The sequence below is a fragment of the Homo sapiens genome, chromosome 6 (genome assembly GCF_000001405.40).
Source record: "Homo sapiens chromosome 6, GRCh38.p14 Primary Assembly".
NCBI classification, from domain to species: domain Eukaryota; kingdom Metazoa; phylum Chordata; class Mammalia; order Primates; family Hominidae; genus Homo; species Homo sapiens.
Genome location: NC_000006.12, coordinates 72209838 through 72236443, shown reverse-complemented (window position 1 = coordinate 72236443; position 26606 = coordinate 72209838). Strand labels below are relative to the sequence as shown.

Sequence of the window (26606 nt, the reverse complement as noted above, 5' to 3'; positions counted from 1 at the left end):
TGTAGTAAAATGTAGGTCTATGACTATAAAGACTGTAGATTCAAAGCAAGAAAATGACACCTTTGGGAAGCAATTTACCATTGTGCAAAGCTTAATAGCCTAAATGCATCTCTGCAGCTGACCATCTCATCTGAAACATGTATCTATGCCCATAAGACTATCAAAGTCTGAGTTTTATTATAGAATATTTTAAAATCTATGTTTAAGTTCTTCCAATGCAGGGGCTCAAATATATATAATTTAAAATGAAGAGAATATCACCAAAAGTTGAGATTCATCCACAATTCTTAGTGGCATACCCATTAGTGGAGGTAATCAGAATTATTTCATAGCAGGAGTAATTAATGGTAATAATCAATAAGACAGCACTATTAAGTACATTAATTTTTAAAAAATTCTTACAAAACTATTGTAATTAGAAAGTGATCCCTTTAATGATGTTTATGTTGCTGCTTAAGTTACAACAAAAGTCCACATTACCTATGCTACTTTCCATTTAAATCTTTTTAATGCAAAAAATCATCCTGAACTTTATAGTCAGAATACATTAGTTTCCCTAAATTTTATTCAATTTTCCTAACATATCTATATGCTATATCAATAAAATTATATAAAATATTTAAATGACATTTAAAAATCATTGCCAGAAACTCCGATGAATGCAGACCATACTGTAATTCACCCTTTAAGAAACATTTTAAACCAGCATACTTACTTTCAGACCCAGCAATGCACCTGAGTCTTTGGGCATGGTTGTTCTCTTGTTAAGAATAACACGTCCAATTAATCGGTCCCCCTCTTTAGATGGTTGCCACGTTACAGGATGCTGTTAAAACATGAATGAGTTTAAAAAGTAATATATACAGAATGTAATGCATTCAGCTATAAAAAGAATGAAGTCTTGTCATTAGAGGTAACATGGATAGAACTGCAGAACATTATGTTAAGTGAAATAAGCCAGGAACATGTTAGTTCCCGCATGAAAGTTAAACACTGCATGTTCTCACTCACATGTGGAAGCTAAAAAAACGTTGATGTTGTAGTAGTACAAAGTAAAATAGAGGATAATAGAGGCTGGGAAGGTAGGGAGAAGGAAAGGGTAGGGAGAGATTTGTTAAAGAATATACAATTACAGCTATACAGGAGGAATAAGTTCTGGTGTTCTATAGCATTATAGGATGACTATAGTTAATAATATATAGTTTCCAAAAGCTAGAAGGAGGACATTGAATGTTCCCAATACAAAGAAATGATAAATGTTTGAGATGATGGATATGCTAATTACCCTGATGTGATCACTATACATTATAGGTACTGACACATCACTATGCACTGCATAAATATGTACAATTATTGTGTCAATTAAAAAATAAAATAAAAGAGAATAGGAACAACTGGCAGAGTAACTTAGAAATCATTATTGAAAAATATTTTCATTTATAATATCAACCTAAAAATATTTTAAAATCCTAAGGAATTGATGAACAAACTGGGCATATCCAGACAAAAATATTATTCAGTGATAAAAACAAACATAAAAGCATTATCAAACCACAAAAAGACAGGGAAGAACCTTAAATGCATATTGCTAAGTGAAAGAAGCAAATCTGAACAAGCTATAAACTGTATGATTCTAACCATGTGACATTCTGGAAAAGGAAAAACTATAGAAACTAAATGATCAGTGGCTGTCAGGGACTTAGTGGGGAAGAAAGGAGAGAGGGATGAATAAGTGGTGCCAGGGATTTTTAGATCAGTGAAACTATTCTGTGTGATACTGTAATGGTGGACGCATGACATTATAAATGTGTTAAAAACCACAGAATGTATAACATGAAGAATGTACCCTAATGTACACTATGGACTTTAGTCAATAATAATAATACATCAATATTGGCTCATCAGTTGTAACAAATGGACCACACTAATGCAAGATGTTAATAACAAGGTAAACAGGTGGAAAGGGGTGGAGTAAGGAAGTGTATGGGAATTCTGTACTTTCTCCTCAATTTTTCTGTAAACTTAAAACTGCTCGAAAAAGGCCTATTAAATTTTTTAAAAATAAACAACTTGCTTTCTTTCCTATAGACACAAGTTATTGGTTGCAGCATGATGCAATTTCTTCAGTTAAAAGACACTCTAGAGGAAATTATTTCAGTGGACTCCATCCTTGGCTTATAAAAATTTTCATTTAGAACTATATTTCATTTGTAGCAGAAATTTATACTAAAAGTTTCTTAAAGTGGTTGGCAAATAAGTATACATTTTTAAATAGTTCTAAAATGGAATTAATTAAAATTTAAAAATATATCTGCTTACATAAAAAAACTGATTCTGTATGTTGACTTGTTAATGTCAATATCCATAACCAAACATCTCAATCTTACTTATAGTAATTATTTAATAATTGTTTTTTACTTAATTTAAAATTTGTTATAATTATCCAGTAATAACTTTTTTTCTTCAAAATTGTACTATCTTAAATGAAATCAATATTTGCCCTTACCAAATGAATAATAGAGCAGATATCACATATCAGACAAAGGACAATTAACGAGCACACATATTCCCTAAACTCCAAACACACTTTCCAGAAAACTTACCGAACTAATAGGTGATGTCTCCCGGCTGTGCCACGTGGCAGGATCCAACCAGTAATAATCCAAATCACCTGTGCAATACAAAAAGAATGAAAAGTGTAATGGTATTAAAGAGAAGAGTGTATCACTTTAAGCTTTACTTCTTCGATCTATAAAGAGTTTTAATATCATAAGCTTGAGCGTGTACATCGCAGAATGATGCACACCTGTGTTGCAAAGGTTGTGACTTGAATCACTGGAATGAACGTATGCTACAAATGCACTTCATACAATGAATGACTACCTTTTTCTCTCATAAATCAGTCTGGAAACATATAAATGTACAGAAAAAAAAAAAACAGGGTTAATCTGCCCCTCCTAGCCTTAAAGGACAGTCCATACCCAGCCACAACCTGCTATCTAGTGATGCTGGCTAAAATTTTATTCATTGACATGAGGTAAGTACTAAAATATAGTGTCTCTCTTTATACTTTCTGAACTAAATAATATCTTTCAAAATTATTATCTGATCTTTATCTTCTCTCATCAACTAAAAAACATAACATACATTTTTTGGGACACAGTGATGAGTAAATAAATATGAAAAATAACTTTTTCCAAAAGACTGGCTACAAATGACAGAGTACTCAAAAGTTCTAACTTTGTAAATATGTGTTTATGAACCTTTATTTTTGATCTTTTGGCTTAACAATATAATGCTAAAGAAGGCATCTGAGAAAAACTGAAAAAACTTCAATGGAAAGTATCAGTGCTTTCAGTATTTGTATAGGATGAAAGGCCGGAGAAAAATTGGGTAACCTACATGAGAAGAGATATTAGGGAAAGCAGGGGAATAATTCCCTTTTAAATTTTCAACATCAGATTAACTCAATAAAATTTTTCTCTGCATAGATCTTGAAAGAGAAAAACATAAAGTGAGTAAAGCATGCTAGTTAATAATGAGCTATCAACTGTTGGGAAAATATGCTTGGTTGATGCCTGTAAAGATCATAGGTAAAGAATTGTATGTACATGACAGGCACTGCAGATACAGGCACTATAAACAAAATGCTACATGAAATAATTTTTAATAATATTTAAAATATTCAGGCACTTCAATTCCATACACTTCAATCCATACACTTCAATTTTTTAGGAACTGCTTCCCTTTTCCTTAAACGTTATTTATACAGGTACTACAATAAACATTTTTCAAATGTTCATGTAGATTACAGTAGTATATTCTATGCAGGGGTTAATATTAGAAATTTCATTAGAAAAAACTATATTCTGTTAAAATTTACTTCACATAGATTCCATATCTCTCTCCAAATCACATACTTTAAAAATGTATACATGGTTTGATGCCAAAAAAGATAAATCTCTATACTCCTACTGGGCCACCTCAGTTAATGGAATATTAGGAAGTCAGAAAAGAACTTTTCTTCTCTTTCATATTTACTATTTGTAAAAGTTCACGACTATTCTTAAAGTAGCTCTCTCTTTAGTATTATGACAGCTTGTTCTGAAAGAAAAACTATATTAATAAAATTGAAATTACTACTAACACAAATGTTATAATTCAAAAGGTAATTATTGCAATTTGTAAAACTCTATCCTATAATTTCATATACTTAGTAAAAATGCCTAATGACTTCCTGAATGCTGATTCATTTTGAAATTCTGTGAAAATTAATAGAAACACTGAGATATTTGAAGAGAAAGAAAATTATATTTCCCCCAAAAAGAAAAATTGATCATTAATTCAAAAGCTACCTTAAAAAGTCTTTGAAGTTTAAAAAAATGACAAAAATTCTTTCTACTTTAAACACTTCAAGAAAACAAAAGTTTATTGTATCCCTCAATAACCTGACTTAGGTCTTGAAAACTACTCCTCAGGATTCTTCTCTGGTTCATGCCCCAATTTCTCATATGGCGGTTCAACCCCTTGTTTCGCTCATATTATCCTAAGTAAATCTATTAATATTATAAATCAAATATGAGTAAAACATGGAGTTGAACCACCATATGAGATACATATATTCGTGAATATTCGATCTGCAAAAAACTGTTCTTATAGGCAAAGGACCAAAAGCTGATGTTTCTGGGTAAGATTCAATGGTGATACTCAACACACTTTATTATGAAAACAGTGCTATCAAGCAGTGCTATTCTATGATATATAAGCTTTGCAGAATAATGATGCTGAATGAAGAATCTAATTTAATTGCTTTGGTACTGGATAAATATTACACATAGTCTGTCAGATGATTCCAGTGAGGAGCCAGGACTCATACAGTATCCCGTAATAAAATGGATGCTACAGATATTGCAGCTTAAACAAATTTTATTTTTTCCAACTTTGGCCATACACAGTTTTGTAGCTATCTACTAAATATTGCTAACAAATGTAAATGTAAAAAACACATTCATTATTTTAGCATACAATATTTGTATATATTTTAGTATACAATTATACTTCCTTCATATTCTGAATGGCTAATAGTTTTCTTATCACTAATTTCATCATTACCCATTAAAATATAACACTTTTGCTTAAAGACTTACAAAAAATAAAATCTAAAATCTAAATACTTAGTTGTAAACTACCTTTGTTTCTTCTATCCCTCTAATTACTGTTTGAAAGATATTACTGAACTTTGAAGCACTCTTAATTTGTCTTTATAACTAAGATTTCACTATTATTAACGGAATAAGCAACACTCAACAAAACATGCTCCTAAAATATTCAGAGTCTAATATTTCATTAACACAAAACATTTTCCTTGATCACTTTTCTAATAGTTGATTAAAGATATTGGCTGCCAGGTGGCATAGCTGCAAAATGATAAATTCATGGTATTTGCTTATGGAGTCAATACAAAAGCACCTTGGTCCTCACAGTCAATAAAACGTCCTAGGAACTAATTCACTATTACCATTAATTTAGAATCAGGAAATACGTCAGCTGCTTGTGTCTATGGAAATGTCTCAAGTTCATAACTAGCCAAGTTCAATGAAGTGTTATAATTTTGAGCATTATATTTTGTGAGCGATTTTAAAATTTTTATACTATCCCTTGTGAAAAAGTAGGTTATTAAACTTAATAAACACCCAACTATCAGTGCAGAAATAAAAGTCAGCTAAATTACACATACATTTTCTCTAAAGAGAACCAGTGTTTCCTAAACCCAGGTCATTATGATTAGAGTATGTAACAAGGCATAAACATGTAACTCTATCTCTATAATTTAGAATTGTGTATCATGATGTCTAGTGTTAAAGCGCAATGGATTTCAATAAGATCGATCAATGCCAATTAAACAAAAATCCCTTCAAAATAATATACAGGCACGATTGAGCATGTGTATGTTAAAAATATAAAAAAACCATTCCTCTAATTTCATATATTAAATATCTATTTAGCAATTTACATGACAGCTCTACTTGACCAAGTGGAATGTGTACCTAATGTGCAGGTAGTAAAGGAAAGCTTATCTGTCCCAAAGCCTTGAAGTATTAGAAAATTTGAACTTCTTGACTATCTCTAGAAGTAATATGCAGCATATTTTTAACATCATTATAATGAATAATAGTAAAAGATGGAATTCAAACCAATTCTAAGATTGGCTCACAGCAACACAGCAATGAATAGCAATTTCAAATACATACATGTGGTCACCTTCAAAAAGAGATTGTTCTTTCTAGATATTAATAGAATAGATTTTCATTCAAAAAAATGTAAACTTCACAGACCAAAAATCACAATTATCCTTCCCAGGTATTTCCTGAACCTCTTAAAATATTTTCCTCTTTTACTTTTTTGAGTCCTCTATAGCAGGATGTGAGTTGGAACTGAATGAAGCATTGTACAAAATATGTTTATTGAATGTTTTTATGCACTGCATACACAAAAAGCCAACTGAGTTCTAAGAATAGGTTTTTAAGTTGAGACAAGGTAAGATATTGACACGTGGACACATACCATGGTCAGCATACGTGAGTTAAATACTGTTTTAGTTACACTGTGATATTAAAAATATAAACATTTTAATATTTTACAGGGATATTCATTTGGGAAACAGTCTCATACACAAGAGTTAAAATCTGAAGTCTAAGAACTAAGATAAACTCTTAACTCTGGATTAATATACTGAAAATATATTTTGAAATGTTTCTTCATATTTTAGAAGTCTATTTAAGATGTTTCCATGCCTGCAATGGAAAAGTGTGCTTCCACTTACCCTAAATTATACATAATAGAGGAGCTAACTTTGGGATAAATAAGCAATAATTTGCTATACAGCAAAGTCCTAGAAAGTCTAATTTCACCTAACTACAGGTCAGGGATAAGAAATAAATATTATTTAATAGGGCTTATTATCTAGGCATTACAATAAAATGCGAAGACATACTTGTTAAATTTAATCATTAATCATACAATCTATAAAATATTAAAGTGTATTTTATAAATAAATCTATGTGTACTGTTGCAAAATTTACATAAATTATCTTTCACAACTGAATTACTGTCATTCATGATTGAATTATTGTCAAAGTGCCTAGTATAGTGAAAATACTGGTCCTCAAATACTTTCTGTTAATTTTATTCTAAATTCAGGCCAATATTCACTCCCTAAACATATCTGAAGGCAAACACTGCATAAAATTAGGTAATACAGATTTTTGTCCCTTGAGCTCAAGGCCCAAAGCAGGGCTAGAGGCCTCTTCAGACCACTGGGCTTCAGCAAGAACTTCTTTAACAATTTTAAGTAACTTAAAATCAAATTTCTGGTTTTGGTTCCAGGACCAAAAAAAAAAGGTATAAATCCTTGGGAGAGTTGCATATTATCTCTAGCCATTAGGAGTTTGTTAGCGCTATTGTTTTCTAAATGCATGTTAGAAATTTCAGTTTGGATGGCAGCTATGTTTACCACCAAAGATACTCAACATAAATAACAATCAAAGAAATACAAATCAAAACCACAATGAGAAAGCACCTCATACCTGTTAGGATGGCCTATTATAAAAATTTAAAAAGAAGTCAGTGTTGATGAGAATGTGGAGAAATTTTGGAACCTTTCTACATGGCTGATGGGAATGTAATCAGTACAGTCACTATGGAAAACAGTATAAACTTTCCTCAAAGAATTAAAAATAGAACTACCATATGGTCTAGCAATACCACTTCTTATCCAAAGGAATTGAGATCAGAATCTCAAAGATATATCTGCATTCCCATGTTCACTGCAGCACTATTCACTATAGCCAAGAGGTTGAAACAATGTTCACTGACAAATGAATAAAGAAAACGTGGTATAAACATACAACACAGTATTACTAAGCCTTGAAAAAGAAGGAAATCCTGCCATTTTTGACAACATGGATGAAACTTCAGAACATTGTGCTAAGTGAAATAAGCCAGATAAGAAGGAAAATATTATATGAGGAACATAATGAGGAGTATAAGTAGTATTATATGAGGAATCTAAAATAGTCAAATTCATGGAAACAGAGAATAGAGTGGTGGTTGCTAGCAGATGGGGAACAGGGGAAACGGGGAGGTATAAGTCAAAAGGTACAAAGTTTCAGTAATACAAGATGAATAAACCCTAGAGATTTACTGTATAGAATTGTGTCTAGAGTTAACAATACTGTGTGTCATACTTAAAAATTTGCTAAGAAGGTAAATCTTAACGTTAAGTGTTCTTATTACAAAAAAGATAATAATAAACAGGGTGGAAGTTTTGGAGGTGACGGATATGTTTATGGCACAGAATGTGGTGCTAGTTTTATGAGTGTATATTTCTCTCCAAACTCATTAAGTTGTATACAATAAATATGCACAGTTTTTTCTATGTCAAATATACCTCAGTGAAGTGGTTTTTAAAAAAAGAAAAATATTTCCCTTTTAAAAGTTCCCCTTTGTTCATAATTGCACTCTGCTTCCATCCTAAAACCAAGAACATCCCCTGTGTCTTTCTCTCTGATATGTAACTTTGATAATTCAGGTAAACTGAAGTATTATTAAGTTGATTCATGTAAATGCATCAATTATTATTTATTAAGTTATTGGTGTGACAAAGATATTTGTATTCAGAAAATATTCGTACTCAATGAAACCTCCGGAGTTGAACTACCCCAGAGAGTGATTAAATATTTGTTTGAAGCCCTGTGGTGCCATCCTTATGTTTTATAATTTTAGGACACAGGCAAGGAAACTCAGTAGCTGGTCCAGGAAAGGGAAACTTTATTAACATATTTGGTAGAGGCAGTACTTTTTCTGGTTGTGTGTATAGTTTGTTGAATTTGAGAGCAAAGTTTTGGGATGCAAACACCACCATGACACAACTCTACAAAGCAGTTATATGGAACTCAGAATCAAAATTTCTGGCTGAATCATGAGCTCAGTCATTCGACTCAGAAGGTAACTAACTCTCATAGAACCCCTCTTTCTTCTGAGGGTAGAATGAGATAATGTGCACGAAACTGCATTATAACTATAGAGCACCACAGAAATCCACATTGTCAGAGTATAAAAATGTATACTAAAAACATTTTGCATTTTTATATAATTATAAGCATTTCTGTCAATTCTAATAGCACGTACAAACTAAGAAAAATATATTTTTCTACCCAGCAGTTTACTTATTTGAAATCTTGAGTAATCAACAAAACTTCATTATGTTTTAATTTCTCCATCAACATTATATGCTAATATTTATAATCATATTCATATAACACTTATAAAATCAGCGATTATGCAGTAAAAAGAACTTTGTACTCCGAGTTGGAGACTTGTGACTAATCCTAAATCTGCCATATTAGGTGCATTCTCTTGATAATATCTCCTCATCTCTATTAACCTTGTCCTCTTTTACAAAATAAGAATAGTGCCTTTCCTCACAAACACTTCATGAGGATTAACTGAGATATGTCAGTATTGTGAATTGTAAAGGAGTTTAGAAATAGAGCTTAATGTCTCATTACACAATTGAGATGAAGAATATGAAATCGTGGTGTTAGAGATCAGACTTACAGTTAATTAGTGATTGTAACCAAAATAGATGTAATATCTGTAATCTTTGCAAAACATGCTTTGAAATGGGCTTAGAAAAATGCTGAAGTCCTGTTGTTTGTAAAAATTATTAATTGGCCAGATTGTTCAAGATATCCCTAACAATGTTTCCTTGAAGACAGCTTGTATTATACCTTAAAAATTATTTAGTAGACATTAGATGTAAAATATATTTTAATATTTATTTTCTAATAGGTTGTAAGCTTCCTAACTTCCGGTAATTCATTTTTTTAGTTTATATTCCTTTAAAAATTATCTAAACAATAGCAGGATTGATGGTAGTAAGAAAATAACTATTGTAATTTTAAACATGAAATACCGTAGATAATGGGGCTTTGAGAAAACAGAAAACATTGTGGGTTTGCTTTGAAAAGGGTAATCGATATTGAGAAATTAAAAGAAATTGGAGACAGTAAACATCAGTCATCAGATTAATTCTTCCTAGTTTTAAAAGTTATGTACATTTATATAAATTTAGATTTTGAGATCACATGAAGCTTTGGGGTCCAGAAACATTCCCAAAACACCATGATGTTCAATGCCATCTTTCTTACCTCTACATTGGCCTGGTGCTATAATGCCTTAGATAAATTTTATAAATTAAAATTCCGGAAAACTTGAACAACAAACACACAAACACATACACACACATGCATGCGCACACAACTTAGTGCCTTAGGATTATAAAATAAGAATGTGGTCATGGTCTTCAAGAAATCTAGACCATACTGTATTATCTGTATTAAATGACAATGAAAATGTATCTGAAGAAAAGTCTTCAAGGTCATTGATAATGGCCAAAATGCTTTCCACACAAAACAGTTTGGAGAAGAATAAATTTCATGTGTAAATATGACCTGAGGCCTAATAACTGAGAAATTTCCCTCCCAGGATCTAAATATAGAATAGTAAGATAACCTGGATAACAAATCACAAAATTGACAATCTTAGGGATACTTGTTTTGTTTCAACACAATGACTCTTCATAAATAAGAATTTGGGAAGTGCTGTACAGCAGAAGGAAATATTTTACTGCAACTTTCCAACTGACCAGGCTTCCACATTGACACTGAGTATTCCATTCACGTGGGAGAACAGGTTGTCAAGTGCAAAGTCTCGGAATAACCAGCCAGGAAACCCTGTGGAAAAAATTGGGGTTTATTTGTTTTCATTGTTTGGGGACTGGATGTTAACCATAGGTTTAAGAAATTGTTGTGCTGGGCAAGTTCACAGCAAAGACATTACAAGAACAAACTCTACATATAAATATCTTTGATAAAGGAAAATATTAGTCCTTATCCAGACCCAGGCAATACTAGCAAAACAGCATTAAGTTGAAATAATATTCTGAATGTCAAATCAATTTTTACCTGCCTCTATATCCCAAAGACAAGGAAATAAAAAATGTAAAGATGGATACATGCTTTTAGTGATATAAATGAAAATAGTAAAATGATAATAAAGATGAATTTTAAGGATATGTAGAACAAAACAGAAGTAATTATGTGGGACTGATACTTCTTATTTTAAAATATACTATTAATCTACAAAAAAGTAGAAAAGTTTATACTGTAGCAAATAGTGGGTAATATAAACAAGTTTTGACACCAGAGATCCCTCAAGTGACTATGAATAGTTTGTTTTTGCCTTTCTTTTCTGTTTTATTCTACTTATTTTTTGGTTTGTTTGTCTTTGTTTTTATTTTGGCTATGCAAACAAATAATTTATAGATACATTAAAGGACTTTATTTTTAAGTTGGAAATTCTTTGACTGGCAGTGGAAAATCACCAGACACAGAAGTTTGGAGAACATTTTATTTTATGCCTTCGCATTGTTGTTGAGAAAACTTCTAGATAGCCATATTAATAAAACTCCAAAACTACAGCTATAGGAAATCAGGTTGCAAAACATTGCAGTCACTGGTCTAAATCTCTGACTCAATGAAAAACTGGTCAAGCTTTATAAAGTCATGTTCTTTCAACTGTACTCCAACTCCATGTGACAGAAGTAAATAACTGAAATAAGATAAACCACAAAAAAATGAGGATAAAGAAGCAATATCAACAAATCCATATAGATTGTATATACATGTTTCATTAAAAAGCAAACTACGTTAATGTCGGTCAAAGACTAACTTATTGACTCAAGAAAGGAATTATCTTCCAGGGGTCCTAAATATTTGACTGAATAAACCGTTTTAAATCTATATTTCCAATATAATTATTTAAAAATATCTTCATGTTGGAACTGTTACTTTAAAAAATAAGTAAGCCTCACTGACCTAGACTAAAATTGTTCAACACTGGTTTCTTGGCTTTGTCACAGATGCAAGAGAATCCAATTCCCAGATTTACTGGCTGTTTAAATATATGACTTCACAATAACTAGCTGCATGGAACTACCTGCAAGTACACTTTAGAGAGTTTATCCTTGAAGATACTGCCCTACAAATTTTTGAAATGTTTAACACAAAGCAACAATATATACAGAAGTCTTTGTGAGGGCTATGTGGTAAATCAATTTATATTTTCTAAAACAAAACTACGAATTAATTCCCACCATCAAACAACCATGCACCTGGAACACACTATATTTCTAGACAGTCCCTCTCCCCTCACTGCACCTACAGTTCCTTTCATTGTACTGTCCTTTATCATTACTATATCAGGTTGTTTACTATATGGATCATGGTGACGATGATTCTCATATGGATCATGCTGCTTCTGCTCCTGCTGATAATCTCCTCTATGAAATAACAGAAAAGAAACTTTCTTTTGGTGTTGGTATCAGGAATAATTAGTGTGCACTTACGCAACTGGCTTTTTTTTTTTTTTTTTTGAGACGGAGTCTCGCTCTGTCACCCAGGCTGGAGTGCAGTGGCGCGATCTCGGCTCACTGCAAACTCCACCTCCCAGGTTTACGCCATTCACCTGCCTCAGCCTCCCGAGTAACTGGGACTACAGGTGCCCACCACCACGCCTGGCTAATTTTTTTGTATTTTTAGTATAGACAGAGTTTCACCGTGTTAGCCAGGATGGTCTCGATTTCCTGACCTCGTGATCCACCCACCTCAGCCTCCCAAAGTGCTGGGATTACAGGTGTGAGCCACCGCACCTGGCCTGCAACTGGCTTATTTTGTATTAAAGATGTTGTGCATTTGTAATGAATTACACTTTTTTGTGTTGGGATATTTGTGATTAAATATGCAGCCTAATTTTTACCCTTATTTCCCCTTACTGATCTTTTCTATGTATTTTAAATTTATTTCACTTGGCTACATTTTTACATTTTCGCAGCTACTGTAAATCACTTTTGATATTAAAATAGGCTTTAAAATGATATTAACATAGCAATTAAAATCTTACTAAATGATATGTACACAATATAATTTAGTATATTTATTGTAACTCTATTTTCATTAAAATGCAGTTTTCCCTCCTTCAAACTCAAAATAACTTTGATTCAACAGAAAACAACAAAATGGAACTGATGTGCAGGTATTACTTTACAGTAAATAGCAAGTTATCTTAATTTATTTGAGAGTCTTGCCAAAGGATGGGAAGTAAGTGAAAAGGTCTTCTCATCTGGCAAAAAGCAATAGAACAAAATCTGAGCTCCTAGACTTTATTCCTAGAAAAACACACCAGCACCTCGCTCATAACTTTATAGCCACAATAATACAAGAGTTTCTTTGGTATTCAACCCCACAAAACCATTAAAGATGCACACTGTAAATGGGAAAATGGTTTGTTCAAACAAGCACATTGACAGCAATAATTATTAACAAGAAAGTGGGCAGGGAAACCTAAACAAACAAATACACAAAAACAAACAAATCAGCTAAGAGTCTATGTGCCCTCAACACTGTGATACTGTGTGTAGCTCTATGAACATAATTGTGTTAAGGAGTGCATGAACAGTTATATATGAAAACAACTGGATTAAAGGGCAAAACATTGATGTTAAAACAATATCCATTAGGCAACAACTAAAAATATTACAGCATGTAAATTTTTATAAAAACAAGGATGAAATCCCTTTATAGCCCTCCTAATTAAAAACAAAGGTTGGTAAATTATAATTCTGATGAGATAAACTTTAATTAAAACAATGTAAACAAATAGCAATAATCATAACAATAAGCTGGTTGGCAAATATCTGGCACATCGAAAAACTCAGCTGTAAATAAGAAGAGATCAGAAGCTAAGTTTTTACAATTAAGTCATTATTTATCAACGCAACAAAAAGCAGAAACATACAGCAACTGTTTATTAAATATTGCTTCAGATTAATCATGAATTTAATTTAAAGATTAAATGCACTGTAAATAATAACTCTTATCCCTTTGCATATTCTATTTCCTGATATTTTTTGAATGCAGTACAAAAAAATGGAAAAGATCAAGTGCTCTTTGCATAATACTCCCCACACAGAGTAGCTGAATTGTCTTTTAAAGATTCTTAAATCAATGTCTTTTAAGAAAGAGCAAACCAAGTGAACAAAACTATCTTTTTAGAGAATTATGTAACTGAATTAAATTGTGAAATTAAGAGACATTAGGTCAAAAAAATAAAATTGCAAACCATTAGCACTGATAAACTATTCAATAACACTAAATCTGAAAATTAAAATTACCATTTGAAAGATTACATTTATAAAAAATTAAATTGAATATTATTTCAGTAATGTTAAAAAGTCAATTTTTCATATTTTATAATTTTTTATAAATCCATAACAAAACGTTCCCAATTGAGACATAAGGTGACATCACTCACAAAGACAGTAAATATGTTTAACTCAGTTCTGTCAATAAAAATGTGCACATTGAAGACTGACCTAATAATATCACCAATCTTAACAATATAAAATCATTCTATTTCACCTAATTTCCGTAAAAACCAACCCAAATGCTAGCTAAAATATCTTATTGATCACAGCAGGATTGAGCTGGAGAAATATAGAATCCATGAGAAATACCAAATTATAGTAATTATAATAATCTCAGTATTAAGAAAAAATATCATAGCTTAATTTTATCTTTTATAAAACAAGGCATTATGTTATATACAGGTATACTATAAATAAAACTAAAGTCTGATCTCCATTTCAAAATAAAAGAGCCAGTCAATAGCACCTCCTAAACTCAACCTCAGTTTCTTTTTAACTGGCAAGACCATAAGTAGCATTTAGCTTATAAATAAAATGTTTATTATTCACGTTTGAAATATATTTGTAAATAATTTGTGATAATTGTTGCAACTGTATTCTAATGGCTTAGTTTTCAAATGAGAAACTCATTACTACCCTAGGCTAGCCATTTTGCATTATTTACAGTTGAAAGGGACTAAAAACACTGAAAAACATCTTATTGGCCTTTATAATTTCCATTATTACCAAGAAGTTCTATGGTTCTATTTGTTTCTCAAAGTGATGTACTAATAGTTTTAATGAGAAAAAAAAAATCACACACACACACACACACACACACACACACTCACCCCAGATCTTTGGGCCTACCATAATCTCTGACATAATTATCACTGTATCACATTTTAGATCGCACATATGGATGTGTACTTAGTTCACAAGTATGCAAACTGTATCCATTGCAATTTAGCTTTGTTAAACCATCCAGGAAATCTGTGGAGAATAAAGATATTACGTTTAAAGACTCTATATAGCAAACTCAAAGGGGACAGCTTCAAGCAAAAACTTCAGAAAGACTATTCTTGTTACAAACCACATGTTTCTTACCAATACTCAAAGGGTCTTTCAGATTAAATAGATGTTTTAGAGCCCCTTATTCTGTGCTTAATTTTTCCATCACTTTTATGTCTTAATTGAATAGCTCTGATTACAGTAAAATCTCATAATAACAAACCTTACATAGAGATCTCTATAACTAAATGTCTGCCTAAAACAAAACTAGCCTCTGAAATCAAGAAATCACAACGTATTTGTCAAAGAAGCCTATTGTCAAGAGAAACCTAGTCTCTGTCAAGCCATTCTAAACAGAAACAAGCTCAATGAATTTGCAGTCATTCCTAATGTTTTTGCTTATGCCAATGATCTGTCTAATCATCACATATTTATCTTTTGGAGATTTAAGCTTTGGGTGTATTTGTTTATGATATAAAATGGCAGAGCCAATGAAAACACCAACTAGTAACTAAGGTTTTTTATTGTTGTTGTTTTGTTTTTTTAGCAAGAGCAATTTGAAGCTGGTCTTGAGTTTATCCACTAACCATAGATGAGAAGTGGTGTACCTTTGTGTAGGCAGGACTTTTTCTACCACTGAATGTCAAGTACTTCTTTGTTGTGACTTTTAAGGAAAGGATTATAAACCTGAGTTATGCAAGTCCTTTTACATGGTCCATAATTACATTTAGGGGATCCACACACTCTTTTAAATTGCAAGTAAAATTTTGTGTGCAAAAGTATTTTTTCCCTCAAGAGTCCATTGCTTCCTTTATTTCTCAAAGGCCTCTGATCTCTCTCCAAGTTAAGAACAAATGGTTAAAGGGACTAAAGGAATGAGTGACCCTGAGTAGGGTATTATGATATGGACTTGTTGCTTTACCTTTAGCTCCCAGAATTATCCTCTCTTGCAGGTCCTCAGCCTCAGCAGTATGCTTTCATGAAGATCACTATTTAAGCCAGGCACTTAGGAAATCAAAAAACCATACTCAGAGAAAATGAGCTTTGTGAGTACATATAGAGAGCAAGGGAACTCACCTCAAAAAGCACTTTCATGACCTAGCAACACTCCAATGAATTATATTTTTCAAAAGCCTTTAATATAGAATAGGCAAGAGAAATATCACACACAAATGTACTAACATCTCTTCTCTGATGAATACCTTAGACAATTTCAGATATATGCTAAATAGGAAAATATAGAAAATATAATAACAAACTTTATATAATCTAAATAAGTGATTACAGAACATAATCCTGAAATAAAAGTAAAAAAAAAATTAAGTGGATAAAAAAGTTGTTGCAATTTGAACCTACTCAGAAGAACAAGTTTCAAGGGCTAAGCATTCTCTAGAGAGAAAAACCACAAACATTGCAGGGCTAACAGCCTCTTGTAACAAAAACAAACAAAAAAAAACCCTCAAAGCTATTTATAAGCCTAAAATATAAGACAGATATTATAGTATTGAAATACATTTGTTAAAACTCACCAGTCATTATATCAATATACCCCCTTTTCTGAAGTCAGTTTTGAAATTTGTTCAATGTTTACAGTTCATCATAAGAATTTATTTCCCAGATATTCAAGACTCATAGAAGTCACGTAAAACCTTCTCTAAAACTTATTTAAATTAACTACGCAATCAAGATTTTTGGTTACACTTCTGCAAGTAATTGACCCACTCATAATATAATTATGATGATTCCCTTCTTAAAGACAAAAGATTGGCCTACGTGAAGCAGGTTATATAATATCTGAAACCATTTCATTAGCCTACAACTTACAGGCATGATGATAAGTATTTAAAAGTTTTCTTGACAATTATCATAGTATCAAATAATTACAAATTCCTTCATTAATGTATCTTCTTTGATAAATTGACATGCTTCTTCCCAATCTCCCTAGCCTTAGAAAATTGAGAATGGCAAGCATTTGTTTTACTTATTAAAAGTGTTTACAGATGACCTGGGGAAGGATAGGGGAGAATATATATTTGCTGTTCATTGAGATTAATTTTTGTTTTTGTTTTCCAAATGACTTCTTCATTTCTCTAACAGAACCCTCCTTGCCAGGAACATTCACAGGTAATACTTCAAAATGAAAATATCTATTCTCCTTGAAGATCTTCCTAACTATGCACTAATAAACAGCAGCACCCCATAAAATCAGGAAGTTGGAAGAGACTTGAGCAGACAAACTTCTATGGAATTCATAATCACTTTACTAATAAAGTTATTGCCCTCATAAATATATGTGTAGAGACTATAATTCAGACTGGTTCCTCAGAACTAGACAGAGAAATCAATCACATTGTTTCTCTTTTTCTTTCGTCTCTCATGTACATATATCTGGGAACATGAACCATCATTGCCTCAGCCTTCCTCTCATAATGGTGGGTGTCTACTATTAAGAAGAAACAGCAAGTATAAACATCAACAGAAGATTCATGATCATTATAAACTGGCAATTATTAGCCACTCTGTAAGCACATTGTTCAATTTACAATAAAATCCTTCCATCCTCACTAAAAAATATATTTAATTAGGCTAGACTCACAAACATTAACTAGTATTTGGTAGGCAGCAATCTGATTCATATTTTTGCCAGTGGAAGGTGGCTACTTTTCCATTTGCCTCTGACCCTTTGGATTTTGAGCTTGCCTTCAGCACAAAGTAGACCTCTTGAAAAACATTTGCTGAGAAAAGAAGGCAGGAGCTCTCTTCAGCTGCCCTCAGCAATACACACTGAACCTGAGGGGGAGCAAGTGAGCAGTGAGGACAGCCCTTGTCCCTGGCCGACTTTCAGAGAGCCCCAGTGCCTCTCTGCGTCCAGGTCCTCATCAGGCTGCAGCACAACTGTGATGCCTCTTTCCTCTCCCAAGGAGTGCAGTCTTAATAGTAGGTGCCCTTGGGACACCTCAAACTTACTCAATGCCTATTTGGCAAAATAGTTACAATGAAGCCAATTAAAAAAAAAAAAAGCAAAAAAACCGCTGTATTTACCTCTTGTATTAGGAAAACTGCATACCTTTGAACATTTAATAATTGTGTCTTTTTTCTACATGAAAATCATCAATAGATGATCTTGAGCATCTGAAAAAATGTTTTGCCATTCCTACAGAGAATAACAGGAGAGTCTTTTTCCAAACTGGCAGAAGGGAAACAAGGGCCAGAAGGGGTTAGTCACTAGTTACTCTTTTAACCCAAGGTCACACACCCAAATCTCTGATGCAAAAGATTACACTTCTCTTTCCTTCTTTGTGTCTTGGGCTCTCTGTTCCCCTCATCTGAACAGTTTCCCCTTTAGTCCACAGCTTAACATCACCGAAAACACAGGCATTTCCACGAATGTGTTCTATAATCAGGACTGTCAATTAGGAGAAACCAAACCTGGTCAGCATTTTTTCTAAACACTTGAAAAGAACAATCTATATATACTTAAATCTTTGTATTTTCAAGAAGATTAAGCTCTGACATTTTCTAATTTTAGTGAAAGTCACTAAATAGGGAAAGCAAACTCTTTGATCCATCAGAGAAGAAAAATGTATCTTTCTGAATTAATTGTATATTATCTATATATCTCAAGTTAAGACTTAAATGTAATACTAAAATGTATATAATTTAATGTGTACTTCAGATAAACATTTAAATCATAAAAATAACTTTATGTAATACAAGTAATCATTATTGCATCCTAAAATTACATATTTATATAAAGCAAAACATCCTTATTCTCTACTGATAGAATCTAAATGAAACATTTTAGTATCTTACTCTTTTGGATAATTAAACAATAAATTACATTAACTTTACATTTATCCATAGATTAATATAATTTAGTTTACCTGTTCCTGAGTGCAATGTATGAAGTAGTAGAAACTGCAGAAACCCAGCAAACATAACAGCAGCATCGGAGTGGTTAACTAAATGCCACTGGCATCAAATCATTAAATTTCAGCTAGCAATGGCAGCAAATGCACAACACAATTAAAAAATCCACCAAAATACAACATTTTAAATAAAATTCCCTGTGGTCCTTGCATTCTAAATCAAAGCCAAAAAAGCCTGCAGTGTCCAACATTATACAACAGTGACACTAAACAAGGCCATAAGTGCTGCTGTCATCAAAACAGATCTCTGCAGTGAACAGATTCTCATTGATTACAGCATTAATCTATAGTGCTCTGTGCTGTACTAAAGTGGCTCCCAGTGTAGCATACACTAAAGCTCTTTTAGCTCCTCAATTAACCATTTCCTAAAACAATGCACAGAAGCTGCTACCTTCCTGAAGCCAGAGAGATGAAACGTTGTGGTCCTTAAAGCTAACACAGAAGAAAAGACTCAGGCAAATGTTCAGGAGCTCATCTTGTTCCCACTGACACTCACTGGGATACCCATGGATTAAGATGACAAGGTTGAGCAGATGCCTGTCAGACCACAGAAAACTCACCTGAAATGATTTGGTCCCATTATCAATCACTGGCAATGGTCCTGCCAAGCCCTGTGTAACAGATCATTTCCTCTGCAGTTTCCCTAACTGAGGAATCTTACTCAGCTCAATGACAACTGGCACCAGAAAGCATAAACCAAGAGTATACACAATTGATTGTTGGGAACACAGGCAAAAGTGCTTCTTCAGGCTTTTCTGGTACGGCCAGCCTAGTGCTAACGGTGGCTCATCTCCAGAGGGCAAAAGGACAACCTCAAACAGGTTTTGCCAGAGAGCTGGGGACAGGAGAAGGTGGCTCGTATTTCTGATATTTTTAAAGATGCATATTTTTGAGGACTGTAGATGCATAATTCATAATACAATAGATTTTTTTTTTCTCACTGAGACACAGAATAATTATCCTCTCATTGGGTCACCTACATTTTACTTCATCCACCCATATTTTGTGTTACAGAACAACAGCAACAGTAACAACAAAATTAGTTGATTTGAAATTATGTTACTATCTCAATTACATTTTTATTGTAGTACAACATTCAGATCCCAGAAACAGCAATGAATAATGATACACTTCTCTAATCATCTAGGGATTATTTGCTGAAAAATCAAGGTGGACTGCTTCTACTTTGTTTTAGAAAATGAAATGGCCAAATGAGGATAGAGAGAAAATTAGGAACATCTTTCATTTATTTAAAACAAATGGTGCTGTGTTTACTTAAATTACATGTACTTGTCAAAAATAATTATCTCATGAGAAAAAAAATTAAAACTGAGCCATGGATCATCTCATTACCAAAAACAACTGCAAAATATCAGCCTTAAATGAAATGACTAATTTGAACAATTTTTCTCTCTTAAAAGAACATATTTACGGTCTCACTCAGAATCTGTTTGCTTTTTTTTCTTTTCCCAAACTTCCGCCTATGCTTAAAGCTGGCTGTAGTCAAAACCTGACCAAGTTATTGTTGGGAAAAGCAAAAGGGAAATAAACATCAATTGAATGCTTATTAAGTGCCAAATATTATACTGTCTATTAATTTTATTTAGTTAATTTATTTCTCATAGGCATATGGAAAAATCAACAACACTTATCCCATATTAGAGATGGGGTTTAGAAAACCTAATTAAATTGCCCGAAGTCCATGATTTATAAGTAGCAGAGTTGGGATTTGAACTTGGTTTTGTCTGTTTTGAAAGCCATGTATGAGCTTTTCACTACACCATAGTAGTTAGGAGTTACTGCAATTATTTTGTTGAATTACTTCAAAGTTATGTCAGTTTTTGTGAAAGTACTCGTGACTTGTTGGAGGTGCAGCGGGGGGCCTATAATGATATACTTTTATTTCCCATGTTTTGAGGTGGTGAAGATTTTCCGGAGCAGCTATTGGGGCTGAAGTCTTATACTTGCTGAACTTAAGTTGCTTCCATTATGATATGGTCATTAAGAAGACATACAGATGGCATGGTCTAGAGATAGATCTGCTGGTCCAGCAAGTATACAGAAGAGAACCAATAGAAAGGGAGTCAAAACTTTCAACAACCAATATACTCATTTTGTCTGGTTGAAATCGCTACCATATAATGTTCTTTGACTAGAATTTAAGAATGCATGAATCAGGCTGGGAGCAGTGGCTCACGCCTATAATACCAACACTTTGGGAGGCCGAGGCGGGTGGATCACCGGAGGTCAGGAGTTTGAAACAGCCTGGCCAACATGGTGAAACCCCATCTCTACTAAAAATACAAAAAATTAGCTGCGTGTGGTGGTGGGTGCCTGTAATCCCAGCTACTTGGGAGGCTGAGGCAGGAGAATCGCTTGAACCCAGGAGACAGAGGTTGCAACGAGCCAAGATCGCACCATTGCACGCCAGCCTGGGTGACAGAGCAAGATTCCATCTCCCAAAAAAAAAAAGAATGCATGAATCATATAAGCCTATGTAGGCTCAAGTCAACTGAAATAAAACATTTTAATACACTGCATGTGTCTATTGTTGTGCTTGAGTTTTGAGATTTAAAAAAATATTTATTTCTCTATTCCTATTTCTTTTCTCTTGTTTATTATCCAGTATGGGCTTACTTCAAATTATAAAGTCATTTTGAATGTCATTAATCTAATATTTGTCCCTCATTCCATCTCATGAATTTATATTAATTTAGTATAATTACCGTGAGTTCCCCAAAGTGCCTTGATATAAGAAAATTTATCAAATAGTAACAAATTGCATTTCTAACAGAAAATACTTAATAAATCCAAACAGGGTTTATCAAGTATTTTCTGTTAGAAAAGCAATTTTTTACCAAACCCTGTTTGGATTTATTAAGTATTTTCTGTTAGAAATGCAATTTGTTACCAAACCCTGTTTGGTTTATTAAGTATTTTCTGTTAGAAATGCAATTTAATAAACTAAACAGGGTTTATTAATCAAAATGGTATTCATGGATTTCAAAATTACAGAATCAAAGCAGAGAATCAATATTAGAAGAGATTAATGTTGACCTTATTCTAAAATATCCTTACTTATTTCTGGGTACCACATACTATGAGCTTTCATGCATAGTAGTAAGTGTTATTCACTGGAGCCACTGTCTAGGTAAAAGTAGAAAAAATCCTTCTATTTTCATTTTTTAAATTCCAAAATTTATGTTAACAATATTTACTCATTTAAAATATTTCTACAACTCTTCCATCTTGAGCTATATATATCCTTCTTCTGGGTTATATATTTCACAGCCTCATACTTAGTTGTGATTCCACAGCTATATCAAAGACCAGAAAACTGATTTCCCTTGGGAGAGAATACATAAAACCTAACATCAAATGCAATTTTGAGCTTGCTTCATATATTCCATTTGACCTTGTGCTATTGTAGTTTAGGTCAAGGCCTGCATTTGTGAAAAGGTTTTGGTACTTTCGCAAGAACCCAGGAACCATTATTTTAAAAAAGTGACACAAACTTCCTATTTTTGCATTGACATTCCACTAATGATTACTGCAATTTGTCATGTATTTCTCATTCTTTGTATGAGATAGTAAAGCATGGAACACATTTACAGAAAAAAAAACCCATGCACAATTAGGTAGCCTGCTATTTTTTTTTAATTATTTTCACAGAACATTGATTTTCTAATCTTCAAATCTCCCTTGATGTGGCTATTACACAGGAATCAATCATAAACATAATTAATCATCTTAAAATCTTTAGAGCTATATTATAAACCCTACAATCTCATTTCAGAGTAACAGATTAAAGATAAAGTTGGTAACTGGAAACTTTATTCAATTAAGAACACTGTGCACCTGACACACAGAGAATAGAAATATTTTGACTGGAAAATAGATACAGAGGGAGTGTTAAATATAGATTTAGGTACAACTGGGACAAAATGAAGTGGGATTACCATTATCTATTGCTTACCAGCAACTGCTCGTCGAGCTTCAATTGTTCCCTCTTCGGAATCAACAGACCTCACTTCTTCCCACCCTTCTGAAGAGACATGAATCCCAGGTGCACACATGACAGCAAACTTGGAAATAAATCCAGCTTGAGAGATTTAAGCCTTGCTGTTTAAACCACTCTCTGCTGCTCAAGATCTTATCTAAGAAGAGTGTGAAGCGCCTCCTTCATCACTCTGCTTATATCATTGAACAACAGGACCAGCAGAAAATGGAAACTGAAATAAAACATTGGTGTGAGAACAAGAAAGTCTCCTTGCATGACTGACTCAGGTCACTGCAGGCACTGTGCAGTTACCCAAAGGACTGCTTGGATAAAATACTGTAGACAAGCTTCGGTGGGCCTGGTGGTGTGGGGACTGGTAGCATTTACTGAGGAGAAGCATATTGGCATCTCTGTTGGGTTTTAACCAGATCCACAGGATTCAGGAAATAAGCTCTCTGCCAGATGACACTATGCTCCTAGCCATTCCTTCTGTTTACTTATCGCCCAAATTACTCTAACTAGTGTCCTTTGTCGTGCTGTGAGCTTATTTGTGGAGAAGGCTAAATAAAGGATTTTTATGACAATGAAATGGCCATTGGCCCATAGAATGATTTCTTAACCTAACTCTTCTGCTTTTGTTCAGTACCATTAAAATTAATTAAATGGGAGCACTTATTATTATATCTTTGATTTATGAAGAAATACACTTTTGTTTCTTCTTGAAATATTTGAACTTAGGCTGTATTTTTAACTGTTACATATTCTTTAAATAGTACTTACCTCTTATTACATAAACTTTTTAAGGTAGCTTCCCTCTTCCTATTATTTTTCTATCAGATGCAAATACATATATATGTGAATATATTATATATTATATATAGATTCCTATTATATGTGACATGCTACAAAACTAATACACATTTCTGAAATATGAAGAGCTGTACCTTCTGATAAATGAGATGCATATTCCTAATTTATGAAAAAAATTATATATTTTTATCTACCTTAACTGTAGTCTTTTCACTAAAACAAACAAACTAAAAATTTCACATGTAATTTTAATGTAAGCATATTTTCCTGCAGGTAGTTATTATTGTTTTGGATTTCAATACAGAAAATGTTGTAAATAGCAAAAATAACACAATCACCTTGCATTTGCCTATATTTCATACTTCCTAAATAATATTCATATGCTTCAAAATGAATCTGAGAGGTAACAAAGATGGATAGCATTAACAAGAGAATCAACCATGTAGAGAAACAGACATGGAGTATTACCAAGACTGGTTTATCCTGGAAATGAAATTCCTAAGTCACTAACCTAAGGCTTCTACTTCACCAAACATTCATTTTCAAATTAAACTTTGGTACTAATATGACAGCCAGAAAGTACAGATAAAAACCTATTACAATCAAATGCCAATATTTTTAATGTTGAAATATTGATCACATATAATATCTTAGAAATTCCTTTTTATTCCTCCATAGTCCTATTAATTCCATATGCAAAATTAATCTGACTTTCAAATCACAAATCTCCTACAAGTATCCTTTGAAGTAATAATCAATAATGTATTGATTTTCTAAGTTCCATACACCACCAGCGTATTAAGGACAGTACTGAAGTACTATATGAAAAATGTATATATTATTTCCAAACTCTTCCAAAGTACTTTCAAAAGCTGAAAAACATCTCTACTAATCTACAGCTGACTCACTTATGTAATATCCTGTTGCTCACAATTATATCTTGTAAAAAATGTAAACTTCCATATAGACAAATATGCTAATCATTTTAAATAATGAGAATGTCTACATAATTTACTTTGATAGGATGTAAATCTAGCATCTCATTCTTTATGGGACTACAGAATGAAGACTGCCCAGGTAGAACTAACACATTACTACTGAGTTTACTGGCTAACTCTGCTGTGTGAGCCCTGCTATATTGTATTAATGTATTGGCACTTAAGAAACAATAGCAGGACAAACTCTGGACAGAAGAGGGCAAATATATTGTCTTTTAATCTGTACATGTGGAAACTCCAGATCCTTTTAGTAATACCAAGATTCTTAATCTTTACAACCAGTAGTAGAATATAATATTTATGAAAGGTTATGGCATAAAAACATGTTCAGGTTCACGATACCTCCTCTGAGAGGTTTTCATTGACTAAACCCAATGCACATTAATCTTTTTATTGTTTAGCACTTCCCTTTAGGTCTTCAAGGGACAGTCGGCCTTGCATAATATTTCATTCTGTTATTTCTTCCAATTTTCACTGATCCCTGCATGCATGCATTCAGAACTTCTTTCATCAAACAAAAATTCTGAGTATCAACTATACTAAGCACTGGAGTAAAAGAAAAAATACATAGAACAGGTCTGTGCCTCAAAGGTTTATTGCTATTATTATTCCCATGTTACAGATGAGGAAACCGAGGCTTAGGTATGATAAATGACATATCAAGTCAGTGGCAACACCAGAATTTGAATTCAACAAAAGCAATAATAATCAAAGCTAATATCACTTTAGATTACCACTTCCTTAAATTTGGGGACTCTCACTTAATATCTGGTTCAAGGCTGTGTTCTTGGCAGTTTGTGATTGAGGCAAATAAATCCGCACTAAGTAGAACATACATTTTGCTGTTGGCTAAGATCCTCCATGAGAATATAGTATAGCTCTGCCATGTCTTGATCTCACAACACCAGTTTACAGAGATGTTAGCAGATGGTTTAAAATAAAAGGGCCCCAATCACATGTATTCAGGACACACTGCATATTCTATTCTTTTCTAGAAAAATAACAAGGCACGTTACCAGAAAAGGTGGTCAGAAGTCCTGCATTGAGGACATTTTTAGCTAAAGTTAGCACTGGCTAAACTTACTTGAGCATAAACAATATTTTTGGAAATATTTACTAAGCCTGCTATTTTGCAGAAATAGTTGGAAAAATGCTTGCATTATCAATACTGTGTATTCTGATTTTTGTTAAGCTATCCTAAGGAACAAGAAAGAGAAGTATTGGATCCCATTTCATAGATTAAGAGTTGATGTTTAGGACCATGTTGTTCCTTTGGGTAGTTTCTGTAATAAAAGGGACTCATGTCTTGTTCTGTCACTGGGATATCTGTGATTCAGCTACCACAAACTATCAGCTCAGCTCTCCTTTTCCTGACCCAGATGGACAGCTTCTGTACCAAAGTTCCATTTATTCAACTCTACATAATCATATGGAGGCAAATGTTTTTTGTTTTATGTTTCTTTCCCTTTTTTTTTTTTTTTTTTTTTTTTGAGACAGAGTCTCACTCTGTCGCCCAGACTGGAGTGCAGTGGCGTGATCTCAGCTCACCGCAA

The 26606-nt window shown here is 32.9% G+C and overlaps 1 protein-coding gene across 89 annotated transcripts in view; it reads right to left on the bottom strand.

The window, feature by feature from the left end:
* The window catches only part of RIMS1 (regulating synaptic membrane exocytosis 1), a 516596-nt gene that overhangs the window by 166702 nt on the left and 323288 nt on the right, over positions 1 to 26606 (bottom strand). For 44 of the 89 annotated variants that reach the window (NM_001350458.2, NM_001350433.2, NM_001350446.2 and 41 more), the window contains exons 1-3: positions 23222 to 23551; positions 2604 to 2671; positions 716 to 826 (exon numbers count right to left, since the gene is read on the bottom strand). In NM_001350458.2, coding sequence (NP_001337387.1) covers positions 716 to 826; positions 2604 to 2671; positions 23222 to 23321 — 279 coding nt within the window. In that variant the 5' untranslated portion in view covers positions 23322 to 23551. Of the gene's footprint in view, positions 1 to 715; positions 827 to 2603; positions 2672 to 10708; positions 10797 to 19200; positions 19504 to 19805; positions 19924 to 23221; positions 23552 to 26606 lie in introns of those variants that run through there. The other 45 variants (NM_014989.7, XM_017010517.3, XM_047418419.1 and 42 more) reach the window with 6 other exon arrangements.